The sequence below is a fragment of the Homo sapiens genome, chromosome 21 (genome assembly GCF_000001405.40).
Source record: "Homo sapiens chromosome 21, GRCh38.p14 Primary Assembly".
Lineage (NCBI taxonomy): Eukaryota > Metazoa > Chordata > Mammalia > Primates > Hominidae > Homo > Homo sapiens.
The window spans coordinates 39,884,936-39,910,551 of record NC_000021.9 but is presented as its reverse complement, the minus strand read 5'-3'; the positions used below and the strand labels follow the sequence as shown (position 1 = coordinate 39,910,551).

General features: G+C 43.8%; 1 protein-coding gene across 1 annotated transcript in view, besides 7 other annotated features; it reads right to left on the bottom strand.

Moving 5' to 3' along the window:
- The window catches only part of PCP4 (Purkinje cell protein 4), a 61,955-nt gene that overhangs the window by 18,841 nt on the left and 17,498 nt on the right, over nucleotides 1-25,616 (bottom strand). The window contains exon 2 of the mRNA NM_006198.3: nucleotides 12,025-12,076. Coding sequence (NP_006189.2) covers nucleotides 12,025-12,076 — 52 coding nt within the window. The remainder of the gene's footprint in view (nucleotides 1-12,024; nucleotides 12,077-25,616) is intronic.
- Nucleotides 3,288-5,235: a meiotic recombination region, noted in NCBI's record as "meiotic double-strand break mapped by DNA meiotic recombinase 1 chromatin immunoprecipitation followed by single-stranded DNA enrichment and sequencing in the germ cells of some male individuals with the PRDM9 A/A, PRDM9 A/B and PRDM9 A/C genotypes". NCBI's record gives the evidence for it as "EXISTENCE:chromatin immunoprecipitation-seq evidence [ECO:0000229][PMID:25395542]".
- Nucleotides 3,288-5,681: a biological region, named in NCBI's record as "meiotic recombination hotspot PCP4-2".
- Nucleotides 3,622-5,681: a meiotic recombination region, noted in NCBI's record as "crossovers mapped in sperm cells". NCBI's record gives the evidence for it as "EXISTENCE:DNA detection assay evidence [ECO:0005519][PMID:16680198]".
- Nucleotides 3,886-5,271: a meiotic recombination region, noted in NCBI's record as "This region was identified as a recombination hotspot within the HapMap YRI population. Increased recombination rates are also observed in the HapMap CEU population, but over a wide sequence range.". NCBI's record gives the evidence for it as "EXISTENCE:nucleotide sequencing assay evidence [ECO:0000219][PMID:20981099]".
- Nucleotides 16,566-17,073: a meiotic recombination region, noted in NCBI's record as "PCP4-1b sub-region, crossovers mapped in sperm cells". NCBI's record gives the evidence for it as "EXISTENCE:DNA detection assay evidence [ECO:0005519][PMID:16680198]".
- Nucleotides 16,566-21,086: a biological region, named in NCBI's record as "meiotic recombination hotspot PCP4-1".
- Nucleotides 18,758-21,086: a meiotic recombination region, noted in NCBI's record as "PCP4-1a sub-region, crossovers mapped in sperm cells". NCBI's record gives the evidence for it as "EXISTENCE:DNA detection assay evidence [ECO:0005519][PMID:16680198]".

Here is a 25,616-nt window from a genome sequence, read left to right as displayed (position 1 = left end):
ACCCAGCATCTGCATGGACCATTTCTCATGGCCTGGCCCATTTTCAAAGCTCACTATAAAAACACTTTTTTTTTTAATGGACTGGTGGGAAATTGGATTTTGGTGAGTGCACATCCATCCAAACTGCCAAAAGCTTTATGTTTGTGTGGAAAGAGCGAAACTTGAAGTGTAAGAAAGGTTGGGTGAGAGGAGGATCATGGTCCCACGATGATTAGCCCCGTTTGCGATGACTGCTGTGGGAAGCGAGGTCTGCCCTCCTACACAGGCCAGGTCTGTTGCACTTGGATTTGGTGAACTGGTAGCAACTGGAGTCTGAAGTGAGACTTGCTTCACTCACATCAGTGCCCGGCCACTAAAGTGTCTCTCTGACATCCGAGGAGACTTTGCTGTCTAAATGAACGCCAGAGCATGATTCGATTTCCAATTGTTTTCAGGGTCTGGGATGGTAGAATAGTAGAGAGAGAAGAACACACCTTAGAAATATTGAAGAAGGCTTGGGAGGCCGAGGCGGGCAGATCGCCTGAGATCGGGAGTTTGAGACCAGCCTGAACAACATGGAGAAACCCCATCTCTACTAAAAATACAAAAATTAGCCAGACGTGGTGGCGGGCGCCTGTAATCCCAGCTACTCGGGTGGCTGAGGCAGGAGAATCGCTTGAACCCGGGAGGCAGAGGTTGCGGTGAGCCAAGGTCACGCCATTGCACTCCAGCCTGGGCAACAAAAGCGAAACTCCATGTCAAAAAAAAAAAAGAAAAGAAAAGAAAGGAAGGAAGAAATTTTGAAGAAGCTGCTTGCCAAGCACAAAAACAGCAGCAAGCATCCCCTTCACATAATCATAAGTTCCTGAAGGGAGAGTTTTCATAAACGTTGTGATGGAGGCCACGTCGCTGACTTCCCAGTTCCTCCTCCCGGCACACCCAGCCATATCTTGGTCTATCCAATCAATACGTATTTCCACTGATCACAGTTCTACACCATTCCACATCCCAAGAGGAAAAAAGGAAATGGCAACTGGAACAGAAAAACCATGACCAGAATGCAAGGAGATCCCAGCAGGTGAATAAGAAGCATCTGCTCCTTAGTGAATAGGAGAAGGGGGTAACTTTCAAAGGAAATACAATTTTAAAATTAAACCTAGTGATATGCAAATAATTTGGCTTCTTGCTCATGATGAGACTGAAGGAAATAACATGTCAGAAAAACAGAGCAGCGACACGGAACAACAGTCTGTAAGAAAACGGTGTGCTCAGCCTGAGCAGATACAGGATCTGCCCGAGGAAAAAGCGATAGTAAAAGAACAGATCAATATGCCATAATAGCCATGAGAAATTGTCATTATAATAACTGTAATATCTACTCCTTCGAATTAATGCTGGAAATAGTGAAGTCTATAAATGGCTGCATTTTAAATTCAATGATCTCACAGTACTTGTTATTCTTCTTCCTTCTTGAACGTTCAGAATGTACTTGACATTAAAGGGGCCCTGATTTCATTTCTTCACCATGGTGCAGAAAAGAGCAATTCCCCTGGTTGTGTCGGGGGAGGAGAGAGAAGAACTTAAAAGGAAATACGTGCAATTTAAATAAGGAGATGGTCATTTCTCATATTTTTAAGCAGCTGATCCTGCAGTCACAAATTTGAAGTTTAATTCAAGGTTATGAAGCCAAGATATCCAAGAGGGACCTGAATGAAAGCAGATTGGCTCCTTGGCGCCTCTCCACAGGGGTGGAGGCAAAGCTTAGCCTCTCCTCTGAGACCTCAGTCCTGCCTCCCAACCCAGGCCAACACCTACAGCCCCAGGCACAGTAGCAGCTACTCCAGCCTCCCAGAGAGCACCTGGAGCCGCGGGCACTCCCACCCTCCTCCCCACCTTTCCTTTGGGCCGAGGCAGCTGGGGAGTCATCCAGAGACTCTGCTCAGTGGGAGCAGAGCCTGGGGCGCCACTGAGCCCTTGAGAAAGCAGCTTTCTGGAAGCCCACAGTCTGTGGGTGTGTGGCTGGAAGCTACTCTCCTCCTCCCTCCTGGTCTGACAAACCCCAGCTTACAGGGGAGAACCGTGCCTGCCCAGTCCCTTCCCCATTTCCCAGTTGGCCTGCCATCTAGCGGGGCCTTCCGTTCAGACTGGGTGGAGGTGTGAACAGCTCTGTATCCACCCTCACCCACCTTCCAGCCAGCTTCCTCTTGTGTCTCCTCTTTGGCCACCTCCTTGTCCCCTTAATGACACCTGAGGAGGGATGAGGGGCTTACACCGACTGTGGGGAACACACATTAACCTTCACAGGGACAGCCTCATCGCTCCAGGAATGTCAAATATGTCATCCTTAAAAAAGAGATCTGACAGTTTTCTTTCCTTTAGAAATACTAAGCCAGCCAATTACACTACACAGTTAACATGAAAGCATGGTTTCAATAAACCACTTTTCTTGCTTTTTTTTTCTGAAGCCAATCCAGAATTTGTATACAAAAATCATTCCCACTTTGTCTTTGGGAAGCAGCAATCACTTATCGTATAATAAGCTACATTTTTTAATTAGTGGGGACAAACAGGGGAACAGGGTGACCTGGCCCAAAGGCCAGGGAGGGAAGTACATTGGCAACAACTGGAAAAAGGCACTTGGTACAATGGAACCCTGCATTTCTTGCTTCTCAGATTCACTCTCCTCTCTTCTCCTGCTCCACCTAATCATTGCTCTGTAGTTTTGGCTGGGAAAGTCCAACGGGTAGAAGTGATTAGAAGGCACTTTTTTTTTTTTGAGACAGAGTCTCACTCTGTTGCCCAGGCTGGAGTGCAGTGGCACGATGTCTGCTCACCTCAATCTCCGCCTCCTGGGTTCAAGTGATTGTCATGCCTCAGCCTCCCAAGTAACTGGGATTACAGGTGCCCGCCACCACGCCCAGATAATTTTTGTATTTTTTGGTAGAGATGGAGTTTCACCATGTTGGCCAGGCTGGCCTCAAACTCCTGACTTCAGGTGATCCACCCACCTCGGCCTCCCAAAGTGCTGGGAGCCACCACGCAGGGACTTTATTTCTTAATTCTAGCAACCTACTAGTCTCTGCAAAGTTGCCACAGCTTAGCTGTACCTTTCAACAGGCCAAAGCCCCTGTCTGTCCGCTCCTCCAGATAGGCCTCCCTGGGATTCTGGTTTCTCCTTTTCTGGGTCTGCATCTCCCCCGAGCTATGTTCTAGATTGGCTGCTAGAGAGCTTTCTTGGGTGACCCTGGGGACTTCTGCCCGGGGTCCGAAGCATGTTCTGTGGTTGCTCTAAGGGTATCCTGGAGACACGCCCAGGGCTGCAAGGCTGACTCTTCCCTGCCTCATGTGGAGGGGAGAACACATCTAGCTTGAGAGGGAGATCTACTCTTTGAGGACAATTCAGCCCACTCTGCCCACTGACAGCATTATTTTCCAAGGAGAAATATTAGCATTTTTCCGTGCTTTTGTAATCCCAGATGTACCTAATATGAAACCTACAAATTTAAACCATCTTATCATTTGGCCCAGCCTGAGATCTAGGTGGGGTTTTGCTTCTGAAAAACTGCCTGCTGTGCACATTAATTCTATAAATAAGATTATGAGTGTTTCACCTACTTAAAAGAGCAAAAGTGTTTTCAAGCGCGTGAGAAATACTATTTCCATAAAAGTAATTGACAAGCAGAACCTGAAACATTTGAAACCTGGAATATCTCCTGCTTGGGGCAGGTTTCCAAAGGCTAGAGGGATGCACATTTTCCTGGTTCAAGCTGCTTCATGGCCAAGATCTTGAAGATCTTTAAGAGTAATTCATTGAGAATAATGTATAACTTTACTTTTTCACCAAGGTGTATAAGCTTTCTCTGTATGATGTGGAATGAAATTCTATTTCAGCTGATCTAAAGCTGTCCACTGCTCAATCTCAAAAAGAAAGAAGGAAGAAAAGGATGAAAGGTAGGAAGAAAAGACGGAGGGAGGGAAGGAAGGGAAGGAAAGGGGGAAGGAAGGGGAAGAAGGAGGAGCGGAAGGAAGGAAGGAGGGAGAAAGAGAAAGGGTGAGGAAGAGGGCAGGTGAAATATGAAGAGGCTATAAATGAACATGTTGCTTTGATGTTTTAATTTTGAAAACTATCATGGCTGTCCCTATTATTAGTCTGAGATCACCCCTATTTGCCAGAGGCTAGTTAACTAAACTGATGGGATAATGGTACTATGGATACAATAGTTTCTGGTTTGGCTAAGATGTAGCCCATTAACTTTATTCTGTTCCAGGGGCTTAGACCACAGCCCATCCAAGTTGCCCATTTACAAACAAGACCCTGGTCAAGAGGGAAGTCAGGAGAAAGTGTAAATAGAGACAACCTGGTGTGTTTGGACTGTGGGTCAGATGACCAAAACTTTCCTCCTCTTATTTATGTGACCTTAGGACAATCCTGAGTTCACCAGCAACTTTGCCTGAGATCCTCTCCCAACCCACCTGCAAGGCCATGGTAACATCAAAGGGAAGACAGCATGGGGGAGCATTTTGAGACGGAGTCTCGCTCTGTCACCCAGGTTGGAGTGCAGTGGCATGGTCTCGGCTCACTGCAAGCTCTGCCTCCTGGGTTCACGCCATTCTCCTGCCTCAGCCTCCTGAGTATCTGGGACTACAGGCAGCCACCACCACACCCCCGGCTAATTTTTTGTATTTTTAGTAGAGACAGGGTTTCACCGTGTTAGCCAGGATGGTCTCGATCTCCTGACCTCGTGATCCACCCGCCTCAGCCTCCCAAAGTGCTGGGATTACAGACATGATCCACCGTGCCCGGCCACATTTTTTTAAACTATGCAAGCCTATAGATGTAAAGAATTGCAGCTAGAGATGGGTAGGAATCTCCGCTTCTGTCCACAAGGCTTCAAGCACTTTCACACCCAAGACTGATCAGAAGCACCATACTTATCCGAGGTGTTCCTTGCTCAATGAAGTTATTATAATGCTCACTCTGAAGGGCAAAACAAACAAAAAGTCACTCTTCTAACTGAGATGGATGTTAATAAATTCCCTCAGCACTAATCCCTAAAGTAACCTTCAGGCAGAATCAGCTCACTTGTTGAGCAATATCACCCATTGACTGGGTTTGTCTGGAGACTGCGATGGCTTTAAATGCCCGGCTTAATAAGCAATTCCAATGTCATTTTTTCCCCATCTGGATCAATATCAGAAGCAGCTTTGTGTGTCCATTTCTTCCTTCCAGAATAGAAACTCTTTAGAGTGTTTGGAGCCGAAAGCACAAAGGACCCCATCTCTTGAGCATCAGTCACTTTTGTTTTGATTTTTTTTTTTCTGATTTCTTCAAATATGGAAAAGGAAGGAGATAAAGGGCCAAGAACCTCCAGATGGAGACCGGAGCTGTTTGAGTTTTTACCTTGAAGGCGCCACCACCCATGTGCCTCTGGTATTCACAGCAGCACTTGCTATCTCTCACTATGGTGGATTCTGACCTTTAGGCAGCTCAGGGTTTCATTGCCCTAGCGGGAAACAGATTGAGAGCTTTCTAGCCTGGGATATGTTGCACACCTTAGACATTAATGACTTTAGGTAGGTGCTTTTTTCACAGCCAGTGCTGTCTGTGAAAGTTATAACCTTTCTGACATTTCTGACACACGTTGCAGCTGGATACTCAAAGTTGTCTCTGTTCCTTTTCAAAGAGGCTCATCTTGGCTTGTTAAGTTTCCATGTGGACTATTGAGATTTGTGCAGAATTGGCATATTAGACCCTCAGTGTGGACTCAAGCTTCACCTCCCCCTGGATTCCAGACACCTGCACCCTCTGGCCTACAGGAACAGCAAAACTCTGAATCGCAGGCTGCTCTGTCTTCCGTGTACCATGATCCATCCTCAAACTCTGATATGACCACAATCCACATCTGAAGCAGAGCAGAGCTGAGTCACTGCTGCAGGCAGGGGCAGGTGTATTCCCTCTGTAGCCTTTCTAGAATGCATTTCTTCCTCTTGCCTTCCATCCAGCCACCCTGTGCCCAGGAGCAAGATCAGCCAGGCAGCATCCTCTGCCAAAACTGACCTCCTCTCTCGGGCATGATAGTGATCACTCAATCATCCTTGGTTCCTGGACTCAACATCAGTTTCTTCTTACTCCAAGCTGATGCCCAGCCTTGCACACGAAGCCTTACTCCACACAATTCCACATACCAAGGAGAGTTGACAGATAAAATATATCCTAAGCAAAATCTGCCTAAGTCAGCACGTAGGTCTTGAAAGATAATCTTGCACCAAGAACACAGACACAAGTGGGAGGGGGATGAATGTCTACTGGGAGATATGGAGCCACAAAGGGCCAGGGGTAGGGGGTAGTGAAATTTCTTTGGAAATAAATTTTTGAATTATATTTTTCTATTTGAAAAATCACAGTCCATTTAATGGTAGCATGTACATCTGTCTGCCTATAAATGCAAGTCCTTCTTGGGACCTCTCTCTCTACCTACTTAAGAGCAGAAAAATAAGAAAGTGACTCTGTGTGTGTACATGTGTGTGTGTTTCCTCAAAATCCAAAGGTGAGATAAACTTAAACTTTTATGGTTTGGGATTGATTTAAAACAGGGAGAGGAAAGTACCCAGTACATTAACATTTCATCTTATTTATTCTTGGCAATCATATAATCATATCAAATCAAACTAAGTCTTTTTTTTTTTTTTTTTTTTGTTTTTTTTGAGACGGAGTCCCACTCTTTAGCCCAGGCCGGATTGCAGTGGCACAATCTCGGCTCACTGCAAGCTCCGCCTCCCAGGTTCACGCCATTCTCCTGCCTCAGCCTCCCGAGTAGCTGGGACTACAGGCGCCCGCCACCGCGCCCGGATAATTTTTTGTATTTTTAGTAGAGACGGGGTTTCACCGTGTTAGCCAGGATGGTCTCGATCTCCTGACCTCGTGATCCGCCCGCCTCGGCCTCCCAAAGTGCTGGGATTACAGGCGTGAGCCACCGCGCCCAGCCCAAATCAAACTAAGTCTTAAGTACTCCTAGAATATCCCCACACCTACTGAAACTTCTCAGGCCATAGTCTCTCTCCCAAGGAAGGGGCACAGGTATTCAAGCATGGAGCCCGAGCTTGTGCAAGGCTACTCACACTCAAAGAAACACAACGACAGTGAGTCCCACAGGTAGTTCAAAATAATACCTTTCCTCTGTAGCATTTACCTACAGCCTGGATGTGAGGGGATTCTTTTCTTAAAATCAGGTGTGTTCATACACCTTCCACCCGCAGAAACAGAGCCTTGTAGAAACAAATGCATCACAGCTCGCTAAGTCAAGAGAAATCCATTCCAGTTTTAGAAATTCAATTTAGCTTGGGTAAGCCTCCAAGCTCTGAAAGTAAGCCCCATCACGAGGTTTATTATTCATAAATCTCTTTTTCAGGTTGGAAGGCTCCCAGCAGCCACTCTGCTTCCAGTATTTTTCTGCTTTTGTGTGTCAATAAAAAAATTTAACTCTTGGAGTCTCTCCGGACAACCAGTATCAAGGTATGGATCAAGAAATCCAGCAATGTAGTTTCCCCCAAAAATCTTTCGGTTGTGTTCAAATTACTAATTTGTGGTGAATAATCTAGATTCAGATGGTTGTGTCTATATTTGTAAACATGTTTGAATTTAATTTAGCCATTTAAATGAGACAGAAAGATTTATAATGGAAGCTATGAGCTATTGTTTCTTTCAAGTAGAAAGTTATTTCCAGAAACAAATGAAATCTGTGGCTTAACTAATCAAATGATGAAGGTGCTTTGCTCATAGAGGAATGAAAAATCTCTGAACCTCCAAGCCCTGAAACGTTTATTTTCTACATTAAAAAAAATTATAACCCTAATATTTCTGAAAAACCTGTCTTCCTACAGCAGATGATACCACAAAATCTAGTTCTAGTAGAAACATCGGGTTTGAGTGTGTGTACTGAGGTTAACATCCTGGGAAAATGAGAAGGATTTTGAAACATTCTGGAGAGTATGCAGTAGGTCATATTTCACATCAATAAATACCATGTTGACAACAATAACAAAAATAAATATTGAATGTATGAGAAATTTCATTCCCAGAAAATGGTGCTCTCAAGATAATATTCAATGTAATGAAATGGCAGCAAAGCCCAGGAATCTAAATACCTTCTGAAGTTTTAATGTACCTGACTTGGGTCTTTTGTGATCCAAATAATTTCAAGGCACCTGTAGTTCACTCCCACAGTCTTTATTGCTTTATACATTAAATGGAGACCTCAACTAAATTTACAATATTTGGATTACAAACACCCTGACTTGTACAGACAATTAATACAATTGAGAATGTTCCTTTTATTATGAAGTGTTACTATCCAAATTTCATAACATTTTGATGGTTTTTTTAATACTTCATATTTCAATACTCAAGGGTCCTTGCTCCTTCAAGACATGTAGACAGCTTCATTTGATATTAATAGGAAATATACATTAACATAATAGATCTCCCTAGATACCTATAATGACAGAATAAAATCATTTGAATTTCAATGGAATGTAATACTAGGTTAAAATGGAAATTCCAAGATGATCGTCTCATATCAGGAATTTAAGAATAAAAAATTAAGTAACTTCAATTCTTTAGGAAAATGTTTTTTAGATTACTTCTAGAAGTTTTTACCCTCATCTTTCTTGGGCTGTTCCAGTTTTTGTCTTTGCTCCTTTTTAAAGGCAAAAGCACAGACTTTAAATTATAATAAAGTATCACGTACAAATATCATATATAGGCAGTTTTAGCTGAAATTAAAGTATAGCATGTTAATAATAATTTACATTTATACATTGCCATTATCCAGTAACTGTAAAATAATCTCAAATTCACTTTTCTACCCAAAAGTGACTATCATTTAATATCTAGAATTATCTAATGAAAAGCCTTATTCATAGCATCAGGAATATTTCCATTTAATTAATTTTTATACCTCCATAAAAAACCTCACTCAGTTTCCACTGGTGTGGACTGGTTTTCAGCTAAAAGAAATTCCATGTCTTTGAATGGCAGAAAATGGCATCACTTATAGTAGCCGGTAATTCCCTTTGGTGCAAAGCACTGAGCATGTCAGCATGGTTTGAAAGACCAATAGGATGTCAAGATAAAGCCAAGGGGCAGAGACATCGAACACATAGGACCTAGTCCTGGCTTCGTCACCATGTGCCTGGTCTTCAGGCTCCTCAAGGCATGACATGAGACATGCTGAGCAGTAGTTCCCAAAGTGTGAACCAGGTACCCTGGGGGGTGCCTACATCCTTTAAGGGAGCCCAAAAGATCAAAAACATTTTTGGTCTTATAAAAGATATTATTATTATAAAAGGTAAGAGTTTGATCTTAAAGGATATTATTTGCTCTTTTAAATCTCATACTCTCACAAGTGAGCAGTGGAATTTTCCATAGGCTACACATCACATGATATAACAGATTGAACACAGAAGCCAGTATGAAAATCCAGCTGTCCTCTGTCAAACCAGACTTTAAAGAGAGTTGCAGAAATGTAAAATTGCCACTTTTTACTAAATATCCTTTTCCATTTTGGAAAATATAATGACTTTTCATTTTTTAAAATGTTACTTACATTCACATGTAGTGGGTTTATTATTTTATTTTTAATAAATTAATAAGAAAAACCATTTAAAACTTTCTCCATTTTAATTTCTAATATAGGAGACAGTGTATGGCAGATACACCTGATATCAATAGCGTAACTTAAGCATACCCTGAGAATGACCCTATGGTCTAAGAAGAATGTGTGCTTGGAGTCGAGTTCCGAGCTAAGGAATCTGGGAGTGGCCAGTATAGAGATTCATTCTTATCTATGAGGAACATCTGAATTCCCAGCCCATCCCATGGGATGCAGGCCATACAGGGGATTGGGGACATTTGTTTTGGAATGAATGTAGATTGCCAAGTAGAAGTTGCTAGAGGGAGGGTGCTAAGTGAAAACGCTGTGTAAACTGCATGCTTGTTACAGGCAGCTGTGGTTCTTTTATCCAGCCCACCGCCACTGGACTGCCCTATAGGTAACTCCCCTCAATAAATCCTATGTCTTGTTCACTGGCTCCAGGTCTTTTCTTCAGTACCATCTCTATAAGAGTCAGTAGGGTTCCAGCATGACAAACATCAATAGATATCACCAACATAAACAAAAGTTCTTTGGGGTCCTCAAGAATTCTTTAAAATGGAAAGGAGTTGTGAGAACAAAAATGTTGGCTGGGTGCAGTGGCTCACACCTGTAATCCCACCACTTTGGGGGGCCGAGGCGGGTGGATCAGCTGAGTTCAGGAGTTCGAGACCAGCCTGGCCAACATGGTGAAATCCTGTCTCTACTAAAAATACAAAAATTAGCCAGGCGTGGTGGTGGGTGCCTGTAATCCCAGCTACTCAAGAGGCTGAGGCAGGAGAATCACTTGAACCCTGGAGGCAGACGTTGCAGTGAGCCGAGATTGTCCCATTGCACTCCAGCCTGGGCAACAAGAGTGAAACTCTGTCTCAAAAAAAAGTTGAGAATCACGACAATAGAGGATCTCTGAGAAGTCTTCTGACTGTAAAACTCTAATTCTAAGGTTGTGAGGTTCAGTGGAAAGGAACTTGCATGAACAGATGGCTACGAATGTATGAACTGGGAAAATCAGTGGAGGCTCACAGCGCCCTATGCTCCCCTATGGCAGGCAGTGGGTCCTTCCTCATATAGGCAACTACAATATTGCTCCTCCCTTTTAAGCCCCATCCTTTGCTCCTTCCTCTGCTTCCTGCCTTCCTTGCCAGTACCCCACACACCCACCCCAACTCACACACAGGAGACAGGAAAAGCCCTGGGCAGCAAAGGAAGAGCCATTGGCCTCATGGAAAACCTTGTTTCCTTCTTCTCCCAGCCCCCTAGCTCCAATTAGGACATTGTGGAGCCCCCACCTCTCTACTTATTGATATGATGACCCCTTTACCCAGGGAACACTGCACTCACCCTGCCCAATAGGACTGCCCTAAATGGGTGGGCATATTGGCAGGCTGCAGACGCAGAGCAACATTCTCATACTTGAGTCTTGCTCAGCTCAGACCCACCACAGAGGCTCCAAAGGGGTTGTGAGGCCCCAGGGAATTTTAACCGATGGTATTTGAGATTGGCATTATCCACAATCTGATTGATGGACACTAGCATCAATTTCATCTAGTTGGAAGCAAGAGTCATTTTCCATAAAAGGAGAGTTCATCTTGAGTTAACAGAAAGGAAGAACACCCAGAGTCTCACCTCACCGGAACTATGCTGTGGCCCTTGGTGCATACCACTGGGTATTTTTTATTATTATGCTTGTTCTTATGTCAATTGCTAAAGTTAGAGACCTGGGGTTCCAACTGGCTCTATTTCCTTCAGGATCCATGCACTTCCCATTTCTAGCTAAATCTCACCCCAATGCCAAGCCTCCATTTCCTGATCCATAAAAATATGATGATCATTCCTACAATTTAGGGTCATGGTTGAGATGGGCCCATGAAGAGGCAGGATGCAATGTTCCTGTCACTGCTATCATTTTTATTTGCTGGTGAATCGCTGCAGTGACATTCACTGACTCAGCACCTTCCAGTGGACCAGCACCGCATTGTGTGTGCTCCGGAGGGCTGAAGCAAGTTTTAAAACATCATTTCAGAAGTTGTGTACTTCACAGTTTTCAAATCACTTATCTCGTTTGATCTCATTTTATCCTCACAACAACTTGGATGATTCTCACCCACCCTAATGAAGAAAGCAGAGAACTAGATTTGCATTGTAATTACCATGTTGCCCAAAATGGGAGTCCTCCTATGGAAGGGAAACTTCTTATCACGGCATTTAGCTAGCTCAGTTTTCTTCATAAAACCAGACCTCAGTGCTCACTGTGAATTGCTAAAATCCTCTGTAAGCTGAAGCGCAGACACATATAGTAAGCTGTTTGGGATGGGATGTATGATCCGCACCTGCTGCATACCCAGGGCTGCAGATGGCAAAAGAGAAAGAACTTGGACTATTCATGTCCTCTTACCATTTTCACCAGATGTCTTGTCTTTTCCATTGGTTGCCCCAGCACCTTGTCGCTAAAGGCAAAAAATAAAAGAAAAAAGCAATTGTTATCAGATATACTCGGGATTACTTTTGTCTCTTTTATTGTTGCAAACATCTCTTGCATTATATCAAGTTCTATGTTACTTTAGCTCAGATGGCTAAAGCACTGTGCTAGTGAGAGTAGGAATGGATCCACCAAGAAAGGATGTACTGAAGCTGCACAGACCGGCCCCCTCATCCACATCCACTGCTCTAGGAATGCAGGTCACCAGTAACAAGAGAAACCAGGAGGGAGATCAAGCACAACTTCAATGAAAATATGAAGGCAACAGCCAAGGTTCTGTATCAGCTACAAGATCAGCATTGTTAATGCGTCATTTTGTTAATGACAGTCATTAGGCTGCTGTATTTTCGTTCCAGTCACCATGTCCAATGTCTTCTTTTTTTTTTTTTTTTTTTTTTGAGACTGAGTCTGGCTCTGTCATCCAGGCTGGAGTGCAGCGGCGCAATCTTGGCTCGCTGCAACCTCCGCCTCCCAGGTTCACACCATTCTCCTGCTTCAGCCTCCCAGGTGGCTGGGACTACAGGCGCCCACGACCACGTACGGCTAATTTTTTGTATTTTTAGTAGAGACAGAGTTTTGCCGTGTTAGTCAGGATGGTCTCGATCTCCTGACCTCATAATCCATCCACCTCAGCCTCCCAAAGTGCTGGGATTACAGGCGTGAGCCACCGCGCCCGGCCCAATGTCTTCTTTTTAAATAAATTTTAATCAACTAAGAAACTCTTATGTTTCCTCCTACTTATAAACTATTTTTTCTGCCATTGTTTATACTTGTCCTTTGCATTTTCATTTTACCAGGTTAACTAGAAGTATGAAGTCTTTTAAGGTTAGACTTAACACTTTGGGCAAGATTCTCTGGGTGTGAAGTCTGGGGAGCCGCGTGAAATGCACCACACATGTAAACAGAAAGGGTGTTTCCTCAAAGCTTAACGTGGTTCTAGTTATGGAGAGAGAAGCATTTTGTCAATCCCATTTTTTGGTTGTTATCAAAAAGTATGCTTTGAGTTGAAAAGGATTGAAAAGCTTATAAAGTCTCTAACTTTTTTTTTTTTTTTTTTTGAGACAGAGTCTCACTCTGTCCCAGGCTGGAGTGCAGTGGCAGGATCTTGGCTCACTGCAACCTCCGCCTCCCAGGTTCAAGCTATTCTCCTACCTCAGCCTACAGAGTAGCTGGGATTACAGGCACATGCCACCACCCCCGGCTAATTTTTGTATTTTTAGTAGAGATGGGGTTTCACCATGTTGGCCAGGCTGGTCTCGAACTCGTGACCCCATGATCCACCCGCCTCGGCCTCCCAAAGTGCTGGGATTACAGGCATGAGCCACCATGCCCAGCCAAGTCTCTAACTTTCAGATGAAGAAAATGAGGGAGGTAGGGAGCATGACTTGCCCCAGATCATGCAGCTAATGAGTGGCAGAGTCAAGACTGGAGCCTGGACTTCCTTGACCTCAGGAATTGCTACTGTGATGCCACTATCTGAATGGGATCCTAGAAAAAAACAGCAGAGCACCGAACAAGGAGAAAACCATGATAGGTGACTAAGGGATAAGGTACCCTCAAAATTCATATTTGGGTCCAGGTCTTTAGCCTAAAAACAATATCAGAAAAATAACAATCAGTTTCCTTTGACGTTCAACATTGCCATAAGAAATTCTCAGGTCATTTGTCAACCCTTAATTAATGGTAAATGTATCATCTCGGAAAACCTTGCTCTCAGAATCTGAGAGGTATAAATAAATAGAGTAAATGATCCAGATTTATATTAACAAAGTGAACCATCCTCGTGTATGCTTATTGCATTATGCAGACAATAACCCAATAAAGAAGCAAAGTAAAGCTTCCCACTTATTACGAATACCATTCACCTTCCATCTGAGTCAATGTAAAATGATTTAAATCAGGTAAACCATTTCTTAAATATAGCAGATTTGCAAGTAAAAATGCCTGCTTCTTTTTGTCTGTCCTTATGTTGATGCCTCCTCTTTTTAAACACAAGGCTCGTACGTTTGCTGCACTGGGTGGAAATCTGACTACTACTGAGTTGGACCAAATCCGAGATGGAACAGCCACCTCAGGTGATTAAACTCTGGCATTCAAATCCAGTATCTTTCCCTGCATAATTCATAGATGGCTCAAATAAAAGAAAATTTCACGGAATAAAAGAACAGTGTTTTAGAGTAGAATAAAGTCAAATTAAATGGAAGGCAAGTGCAAAATAGGTGCATGCTCAACCCCACAGTCTTTAAATGCCTTAAATATGGATGCCTTTCAAATGTCATGAATAACTTTTCCATAAAAGATCACTTTTTAGAAACCAGAGGAAAACCAAAATGAAATGTGCACAGGGGAGAAAAGCAGTCATTTTTTCGGGATTTCTAAGATGGGGTTTTTATGTCAGGTTCTATTTAACGGAGACACAATGAAGGTGATTTATGTCGTAGGTGAAGGTGTCTCACATCAAAAAATGATCCTGACAAAAAAAGAACTCGTTATTGAAAGTATTGAAAGTATCTCATTTCAGAATTCTTTGGGACCTTTTGACATTTTCAATGGAGGTCTGAGGGCAGAGGGGGAATTCTCCAAGAGCTGCCCCATTCCCAGGGTCTGGTCTTTACAATACCAGGCAGTTGCAGTTTCACTGAATTTATACTGGAGAGAGTCTACACCAGGCTGGGTGTCGGGTAATCATGGTTCATGCTGCTGGGGCCAGGCTTCAAGGGCGCTCAAGCACCATCAACTCATTGAGTTCTGACAGCATCCCTGATGGGGTAGATGCCCTTAGTGTCTTCATCAGCCTCACTTTACCAATTATATCCTGAGGCACAGAGAGGAATTTGCTCAAGCCCACGAAGTGGGGAAGAGGCAGAGGCAGAATTCAGCCCCCAAGAAGCTGGCTCTGGAGCCCTTCCTTTTAGCCACTGTACTTAAGCATCTCTCAGTACTGTGTGCAGCATACCTCCTGAGGGCCTCTATCAGCGGGTGGGGAGTTAGGAGGCAGTAAGATTTGAGTTTGAAGGTAAATGTGACTTCATTAACACCACAGGCTGGAGTTTTGAGAACACTTGGCTTTTAGGAATAAGCAGAGGCAAACAACAGCCAAGGGCTCAATTCCAGAAATGCTATCAGATCTTTGTTAATGTTTAAATAACATAAGCACCCAGAGCTAGGCTCTACTAAAATAAATAGCAGATGGATGTGTGGATGGATAGATGAATGGATGAGTAGTTGAATGGATGAATGGATGGGTAGATGAATGGATAGGTGGATGAATGGGTGGATGGATGGATGGATGGATGGATGGAAGAATGGATGGGTGGACCTAAGGATGGATGAGTGGGTGGATGGATGGATGGGTGGGTGGATGGATGAATGGGTGTGTGGATGAATGGATGGATGGATGGATAGATGAACAGATGAGTAGATAAATGGGTGGACGGATGGGTAGATGGGTTGATGGTCAAATGAACAGACAGACGGAGGTAGGTCATTCTCTAAGCAACCAACGAAAAGATTCTTTTTCATGACGTGACAGAAGTTAGCATCTTCGGGAAGAGGCTGCCTTTTCTCTCCACCCCACTCTCATCCCCAAATAGGAGAAGATGTGATCTCTTATCTCTGTTCTGAATGAGCTCCAACTACAAGTTCATCATCCTAAGAACATATGTTGCCGACTGAACAGAAGTAGTCATAGTTCAAAAGTATTATTTATTATCATTGAACTAATAAATGAAATCAAATATTCAAGAAACAGGGCACAATAAATTGGCTTCAGAGCAAACCCTGATATGAGATTCTGGAATCCTGAGCTCTTTCTTAGGAATTTCAGAAATGATTCAATGGTATCATGAATACCACCAATGTGTCATTCAGTTTAGATATCAATATAGCTTAATATGTTAGGTTATGCAGAAGGCAGTACAAGTTCTCCCTAAACAAATATGCATAGCCACAATGACCAATTTAATGCAGGTGTAGAAAATATGCTATTAGAATTATCTAGAGAACTAAGGACTAGAGTATTTGAGAGCTTCATGAATATGCATTCAGATATCTGCGAATTTGTCAGCAGATATCTTCTTTGATGTTTTCCAAGGGATCTAGAGAGTGAATCAGTTATGACTGCTAAGAAGAGCATGGGTTGATACATGTGGGATTTTGCTATCTTTTCTTCTGGGGAAGCAGGTAGTAGAGGGGTAGTAGAGGAAAAAGTCACATCAACTTCAACCACAGCAAAACCAGATCCATTAGATTGTCTAATAATTCCACTCCCAGGAGAATGCCACCATGAGTCTTGCAGTCTATATCACAATACTCAGCTCAGATGTTCTCATTCTTCTCCTGATCATCTCCAGCCCGACACCCACCCTAATGACTTCTCTTCCATAAAATGCTCCTGTTTGGGACCCTCCACAACACCTTGTCCCCATGCAGACACGGCATCTTCCTGGATGCTCACCAAAGAGTCTAGAAGAAGGACAGCCCCTTCCTCCTTCAACCGCCTGAAATCAGCGTCCCTGGTGCTCAAGCCAGCTCTGTGTCTATCTACATCATCAGAGACACTGGCCCTCCCTCTTTAAACATGTTAGAGCAATGTCCCTATTTTTATCTCCAGAGACCTCCACAAAAGACAGGTGGCCCTCTGTGAGACAGTGTATTCCACTTGGATTGACCTTCACAATCACAAATAGTAACACCACTGGGCTCTTTCAAACAAAAGACATATTTCCCTCACAATGACTTCCTTCAACATTGTCCTTATTTCACCATTAGAACATGCTACATACCCATCTAAGGTTCAACACCAGAATTCACAATCACAGCCTGCATCCTTGGCCCTGTGCCAGGCAGGTGGTGCATGAGCTGGGACTCTCTGGAGGGGCCACAGGAGGATCCAGGAGGCAGATGAGATGCCTCTGGGTTCTTAAACACGTGCCAAGCAATTCACACAGCTTCAGAAAGCGAGGTTTCCATTCTTGGCAGTGTTCGTGAATAAAAGTAGAGTGCTTCAGAATCTAATAAAACCCCAATTAAAGGGAATCTAAATAACAAATGGGTATATGAAGATCCTTGTGCATCTAACTGTTTCCTCTGATAATCTCATACATGCCCGGTATCCATAAAAAGGCAGGAGAGGTGTTTAAAGGTACAATTTTTTGAAGTAAATTTTCCTGACAGTTCTGTTGCACCAAGATCTGCAGGAAAGTAGTGAAGAATATATATTAGTCTGGGTTTCCCAGAAAACAGAGCATGAGGCAGATGTCGGTTGCACTATGGTTTTATTAGAGAAGGCAGTGCCAGAAGTGAAAGAGAGAGGATGGGAAGGTGGGGAGTGGAGAGGCAGCTGCTATGAGGATTCTTCATCAGACTGGCCATTGAGAGGTATAACCAAATGCTGATCCTCCCAGCCCCGGAGGGTAACCATCCTTCTACCCTCCGTGTCTACGAGTTCAATTGTTTTGATTTTTAGACCTGACAAGTACGTAAGAATATGCAATGTTTGTCTTTCTGTAACTGGCTTATTTCCCTTAACATAATAATCTCCAGTTCCATCCATGTTGTTGCAAATGACTAGATCTCATTCTTTTTTACGGCTGAATAGGGGAGGTGGGGATGGTTAATAGGTACAAAAAATAGTTAGAATAAATAAGACCTGCTATTTGATAGCACAACAGGGTGACGATAGTCAATAATAACTGTACACTTTAAAACAATTTAAAGAGTGTACTTGAATTGTTTGTAACTCAAAGGATACATGCTTAAGGGAATGCATACCCCATTCTCCATGATGTATTTATTTCACATTGCATGCCTATATCAAAATGTCTCATGTCCCCTATAAATATATACACCTACTATGTACCCACAAAAATTAAAACTTAAAAAAAGTTTTAAAACACAAAATTCTAAATGCTGATCTTGCAGTGTGGCCCCCGAGAGCTGTGTGAACTGTGTCTGAGGACAGAGGCTCTAGGGAGAAGACTAAAAAGTTATCCACCGTGGGGTGGAGGATTACCTAGGTGCCAAGGCAAGAGACTGAAGGCACAAACTGTTTCAGTATAATAAAGAAAATAGTTAGAATAAGGATAGTCATAATACAAATTAGATGTAGAGATGATCATGAACAATTATCAATCATTATTATAAACATTATTAATCATTAGCTTTTAATATTACTCTTTGTTGCATTACTGATATAACCTAGGAATAACCGGCGGACATGGGGTGAGGTGCTGAAGGGACATTGTGAGAAGTGACCTAGAAGGCAAGAGGTGAGCCCTCTGTCACGCCCGCATAGGGGCCGCTTGAGGGCTCCTTGATCAAGCGGTAACGCCAGTGTCTGGGAAGGCACCTGTTACTTAGCAGACCGCAAAAGGGAGTCTCCTTTCCTTGGAGGAGTCAGGGAACGCTCTGCTCCACCAGCTTCTTGTGGAAGGCTGGATATTATCCAGGCCTGCCTGCAGTCATCCGGAGGCCTAAACCCCTCCCTGTGGTGCTGTGCTTCAATGGTCACACTCCTTGTCCACTTTCATGCTCCTCCCGTACTCCTGGTTCCTCTTTGAAGTTCGTAGTAGATAGCAGTAGAAGAAATAGTGAAAGTCTTAAAGTCTTTGATCTTTCTTATAAGTGCAGAGAAGAAAACGCTGACCTATGCTGCCTTCTCTCTCTGCTTCGGCTACCTAAAAGGGAAGGGCCCCCTATCCTGTAATCACGTGACTTGCTTCACCTTGTCAATCACTTAGAAGATTCACCCTCCTTACCCTGCCCCCTTGTCTTGTATGCAATAAATAACGGCCAGCCCAGCCGTTCGGGGCCACTGCCGGTCTACGCGCCTTGATGGTAGTGGTCCCCCAGGCCCAGCTGTTTTCTCTTTATCTCTTCGTCTTATGCCTTTATTTATTACAATCTCTTGTCTCCACACACGAGGAGAATACCCGCTAAGCCCCGTAGGGCTGGACCCTACACCACCAGCTGCCATCTCTCGTTGATCCAAGGTGCTCCACAGAGCACCAATTCCCCATGCATCTGGACCATGCAAAGTCTTGCACCTTGCATCTGCCTGGGTTGATGAGGAAGCCCCAAGGCAAGGGGTGGAGGTGGAGGTGATTGATGTGGGCAGGAGATGACATGCTGTTACTGTGTACCTGCCTGAAGTCTGCAGAGCCCACGCTGAGGCAGCCACCCACGGGGGTCCTCAGAGAGGGCCTAGTGACACATGAGAGGTGTCTGACTCAGCACATAGACAAGGCTGGGTGACTATTTTTTTTTCACTAAGTTGCAAAATCACAAACAATCCCTTCATATTCAATACCCTGCTAGTTGAACAGACCACATCAAGTTCCACGTGAATAGTTGGCCTTGGATCCATTTCTGTCTGTACTTTGAGCTTAGAATGGACATAAAGATATGTCTGAACATAAGTATGCTACATTTAGGAGCTGTGCAACATCATCAATACCTAGGTCTTCAGTTCAGGGCTTGAACAGAAAATGTGCTGGCATCCCAAACATCACTAACAGTCCCACAAACAAATTCCTTTGAAAACAAAAAACTCAATTACTTCTCAGTCTACTATTCTTCCTTGTGAAATCCATTACAAAATCACAGTGTTCTTGAAATAGCCACCACTGGATAAGGCAAGCAAGGCATTTCCCCTGGGCACAAAATTTAAGAGGGCTCCAAGAAACTCAGTAATCAAAATAAATCATATGTTAACGCAATATTTTTCAAATAAAAAGTACTGCAAAAAGTCATGATGAACAAAATATTAAAATTTTGTCCAGGCACGGTGGCTCATGCCTGTAATCCCAGCACTTTGGGAGGCCGAGGTGGGTGGATCACCTGAGGTCAGGAGTTTGAGACCAGCCTGGCCAACATGGTGAAAACCCGTCTCTACTAAAAATGAAAATTAAAAAAAAAAAAATGAGCTGGGTGGGGTGGCAAATGCCTGTAATCCCAGCCACTCTGGAGGCTGGGGCAGGAGAATCGCTTGAACCTGGGAGGCAGAGGTTGCACTGAACCGAGATCATGCCATTGCACTCCAGCCTGGGCAACAAGAGTGAGGCTGTCTCAAAATAAATAAATAAATAGATAACGAAATATTAAAATTTGAAATAGACAGGATTGGAATGACCGATATTTCCTTCTGTCTTGGGCTTCAGTGTGGCTCAATCCAACTCTAGTCACTATGTCTCCCTGAAGTAAGGAAAAGATTGGAGAAACCCAGTAATTCCAAGCTTTCAGAAAATTATTCTAATACAGTCATTGAAACCTTTTCATTGTATCATGGGCCATGCCTGGGCCTGAAGGACTTCTGTGGTTGTTTTGAGAGTGTTTATTACACGACTTCTAGAATGCTGCAGTGGAAGGCCTCGCTTCCACCCTTTGTTGTCTATACCCATAAAATCAGTGTGCTATTCATACATCAGTTAGAAGCCAACTCACCCAAACCTGTTTTATCATTTATCATAACCCAGAACACGAGACAGATCATGCCTATTTGGGAAATAATTCAGCCCAGTACACTTTGTTCCATCTTTAGGATAAAATACAAGTTCCCATTAAAAGACACGTATTTTTCATTCCAGAGATTGAAGAGTATGAAATGTGAAATGAATTCCAGCTGGTTAAATTTGGGGTCCAAACTGCAGTCTAATAATATTTTTTTCTGAATGTATGCCTCTAGCATTTAAGTGGGTAAATCTGTATTCACTCTAAGAACTTGGTTTGAGGCTGGGCACGGTGGCTCACGCCTGTAATCCCAGCACTTTGGGAGGCCGAGGCAGGCAGATCACGAGGTCAGGAGATAGAGACCATCCTGGCTAACACAGTGAAACCCCATCTCTACTAAAAATACAAAAAATTAGCCAGGCGTGGTGGTGGGTGCCTGTAGTCCCAGCTACTCAGGAGGCTAAGGCAGGAGAATGGCGTGAACCCGGGAGGCGGAGCTTGCAGTGAGCCGAGATCGTGCCACGGTACTGCAGCCTGGGTGACAGAGCAAGACTCTGTCTCAAAAAAAAAAAAAAAAAAAAAAAGAACTTGGTTTGATATTTAATTTGGTGAGATATGGTTGGACTGGGCGGGGGGCTCACCACTTTTGAAGACCCCTAAGGGTTAGGGAATAAGGAGGCTTCTGAAGCTGTCAGGGCCCAGGTCATCTCCAAATTTCTTAGGGTGCCATACACTCCTCCCTTTCTTTCCCATCTCCCCAGTAGACTTGCCTATGTGGCCACCAAATATTCGTAAGAGCTTTATTCATGAATCTGGCTTTGGCAACACTAGAAAGAAAGAGAGCATCCTCATGCTGCCAGATCCACAGGGGACAAGGGACAACTGGACCCACAGAGGCCCCTGGCTCACAGAGGCGTTCCCTCTCGGCCCCGTGATCAAGCCACGCAGGGATGGAAGTGAAATGGGCTCCTCCCAGTCTTGCTGTCAGCCTCTCACGGCTACGGCACAGGAAAACTTCTCTAGTTAAAGGACTGTGGTGTCTCCCAGGCTAAGAAGTAAAGACTACTTTTTAAAGTGAAACGTAGAAATTAGGTACCTTTACCAATGTGCAAAGCTGTCAGGAGAAAAAGTCACGGGTACAGGGTCAGACAGGTACCCAGACTCAGCCAGGTCAGGGGACCAACTCCTGGACTGTTCATTTTTGCCTTTGCTGAGCCAGGTCCTGGGCTGGGCCCGAGGGTCCCAAGCAGAAGGGACCCACTGCTTCCACTTTGGTGGCTCACAGCCTGGAGGGCCGGGCAGAGAATAAAGCAACCATCTCAGCGTGGAGGGGAGGAGCTGAGACCCAAGAATGATTGACATCGGGGGCAGCGGGGGAGTCCCCTAACTCACACCGCTGTCAGCTCTTGAGGGAGGTGTGCCAACCACTGACTGTCCCCACCAGCTGCGTATCACTGGAGAAATTCCTCATTGAAGTCTCAGTTCCCTCCCTGCCAAAGAAAAATGATAATCCATGCCTCCTACTGGCCACATCTAAGGAGCCTGGACCCAGCAGCCACGCTCCCCCCACTTATCCATCAGTGACAGCGTTTACCACAACAGCCATTGTTGAGTGATGTTAAATGGGTGGTTTATGAAAAGAAAGGAAGTATTTGTTCCTGAGTCCTCTTTAAAATTTTGCCCCCCGTTCCCAACGTCTGACTTCTGTTGGCCCCTGTCTACCACAGAGTTGCTGAGATTCTGCAAAGGAAGGAAAATAAATCCATCTCGTTCTCATGGTGGCTTGAAAGCTCTTGTTAGCAAGTGCTACTTAACAGCGTCTATCCCCCGGTGCTGTGTCTTCTCGTAAGTTATTTTTCTCCACAGTGCTGTCTTCTTTTTGTGCTGTAGCATCCTGATATCAACACTTCTAATGGTTTCAGGGTTTTTAGCTCCCCTGGAATGGCAGCATCTCGACAAGCAGTTCCCTAGATGGATCATAAAAAAGGGGAAAAACACGAATCCGCATATCTTTGGTATATATTGCACATGGGGACCATGAAGTTTCAGATATTGCATATTCCTCGCACAATTAATACCCCACACAGCAGAGACACAAAATGCAGGACTGCCTCCAGTCACCCCAGTAAGCCCTTCTAAGGGTTTCTTGTCTGCTTTCTCTGAATCACCCTGTTTATAAAGAAACAAAAAGGCCTGTTACTATGGTATTATATGTAATGTTATTTTGACGAAGGCTAATCAGGCTCTTAGATGATCCATCTTTGAATGAACAGAGAAGCAAAGCACAGGGATTGCACAGTGAAATGGCATCAACAGCCGGGCAGGTAAGCACGTAGCTGAAGACTGCTTGAGGCCACCTCGATCATTAAGCAAATGGATTCTCAGGAACATTGAAGACCTATCATCAAAGGCAACTTCAAAATCAAAGTTGCTGAATTTGTCTGATGAGCAGAAGAGACTTTTATGCCTACATTTTGTGACAGAGACAGAAAAGATTTAATTTCTCGCCAGTGATATTTTTGTCATCTATAATTCTCCTAATAACATTCCAAAAATTGAGCATTAATTTAATCCCTAAAGGTGTAGAAATTCATGTCAAAAGAAAACTTCAGCTAGAAGGTTTTTTAAAAAAAAAAAAACCAAAAAACAAAAAAAAAGTTGGTTAAAAAAAAGTGATGGGATTTTCAATGACAAAGGCATTAACCTTTCTAATTCCTCCTCTCTTCTTTCATTCTCACCTCTGGAAGACCCAAAGGCTGAAATTCTGCCTCAAATACTACGTTCTATTCCTGTCATTTTTTTATCCTGACCTTTATGGTAAGAGAATTAATTAGCATCACTGCAGTTTAGGCAAACCATTTATAAACGTACCATCATTTTCAGGTATCCACGATTTATTTTATTGGAATTAATTTTATACTTTTTTTCACAGCTATATTTTTAAAATTCGCATTTTCTACTTTAAAAAAATTCTTCTTTGTGCCAATTTTCATGCTGAAGAACACTGTTTTCTATTTGCAAAAGTAGGATATGGCCGTTGTGAAATTTTTGGAACATAAATGAGCAAGGAAAAATGCAAAAAGCCACCTACAATTCAACTAATCAGAGTTAATCCATGTTAATACTTCAGAATATTTTCTTTTCATCTTCTTATAGGTGGACATATATATAGTCTCTCTTTTATAAAACCAACCACATGCCATATATATAATTTCATAAAGATATACATTACAACTTAAGGAACAGTTGCTATTTAATGACTTCTGTGTGGACTCTTCTAATTTCACAGATTTCACAGTGAAATGTCCAGCCCACACTGTTGAGTTCATTTGGAACTCCCTCTGACTTTTCAAATCTTACATATTTCATACTTGTCACTTGTTTATTTTTGAGATGGAATTTCTCTTTTGTTGCCCAGGCTGGAGTGCAATGGTGTGATCTTGGCTCACTGCAACCTCCACCTCCCAGGTTCAAGCAATTCTCCTGCCTCAGCCTCCCAAGTAGCTGGGATTACAGGCATCTACCACCATGCCCAGCTAATTTTGTATTTTTAGTAGATTTGTATTTTAGTAGATTTAGTATTTTTACTAGTATTTTACTAGTATTAGTGTATTTAGTAGATTTGTATTTTAGTAAAATAAGCCACTTGTTTATTCAACTTGGCTCAACAAAGACTCATGGTGACGACTTTTGTGTTGCTGTCAGTTTCCTGAAAATTAATATCATAGAAGGTTCTGAATGGTCCTTGACATTGGGCAGAGCTACTACCACTTTTGCAGTATGGTGGGCTGAATTGGGACCTCCACCCACAATTCACATGAGGAAGCCCTAACCCCAAGTACCCCACAGTGTCATCCTATTGGAAGATAACATCTTTGCAATCGAGTAAAGAGAGCTCATTAGAATGGGCTCTAATCAAATAGGACTGTGTCCTTATTAAAAGGGACAATTTGAACACAGACATGCAGAGGGAAGACAGTGTGGACACACAGGGAGAAGACAGCATCTACAAGCCCGGAAGAGGGGCCTGGAGCAGATTCTCCCTCATGGTGCTCAGAAGGAACCAACCCGGCAGACACCAGGATTGTAAACTTCTGGTCTCCAGAACTATAAGAGAATACATTTCTGTTGTTTAAGCTGCCCGCAGACTAATTAATACATTCAGACAGCAACATAGGAAAGAACAGACTCATCCACAGGAGCTGATAGAAGCACGCTCAGGAAAGAAAGCCGGGCAAAGTCTGGCTCCCAGGCTCTGGGGCCTGTCCTGGCGTCCTGTCCCAGGGGAGGGAGAGGGTGCCTGGCTTTGGGGGATGCCCAGGGCACAGGGGAGGGCATCTCCTTCAGCGCAGCTTGGGTGTGTGCCCTCTGCAGGGGGATGTGACTCCACGGGCATGGGCTGAATTCTCTCCTGAACCCCAAACCACATGGAGGTAGGACACTCCCTGGGCTAGAAAGAAGAGATGTGTCCTCCCTCAACCACATGCCCAGAACTGTTTCTCCAGCCCCGAGCCAGAGGTTTCCCCAGCCGCCAGCCTGATGTCCTTCTCGGCTGCCTTGTGAGGGCAGCGCCTGGCAGAGGGACAAGCTGTGGTCAGAGCAGAGGGAGGGCAACCGGGAGCTCCGCTGGGCCTCAGGCTCGCGGCTAGGCCTCAGGCTCGTTGCTTCTTAGCAACCAACACCTCCCACAGCCCTGGCTCCCCTGGGACTACATGGTTGAATAGCCCCCTGGAGCAGGAGCAGGTGGCGCTTGCTCAGTGTCAGTTTGAGAAGGAGCAGGACAGAAACCCATTTAACGGCTCTGGCTAAGGCTGCTGTTCAGAATCAAAAGCGTTCCCATTCATTGAATGCCCTCCCTGCAGTCAGAGATCCTGGCATAATTTACAAGGACCAGGAACATAGGTCACTCTGGTGTCATTTTGTTACTTTTCTATACTTCAGCTATTCATTATAAAGTAACATTTATAAACTGTCGCACTATGAGATTTAATTGACTTAAAAGCTGATATGATCATGCTATACTCAAAACGGTGTAAATACCTTGCATCGTAATTGGGCTT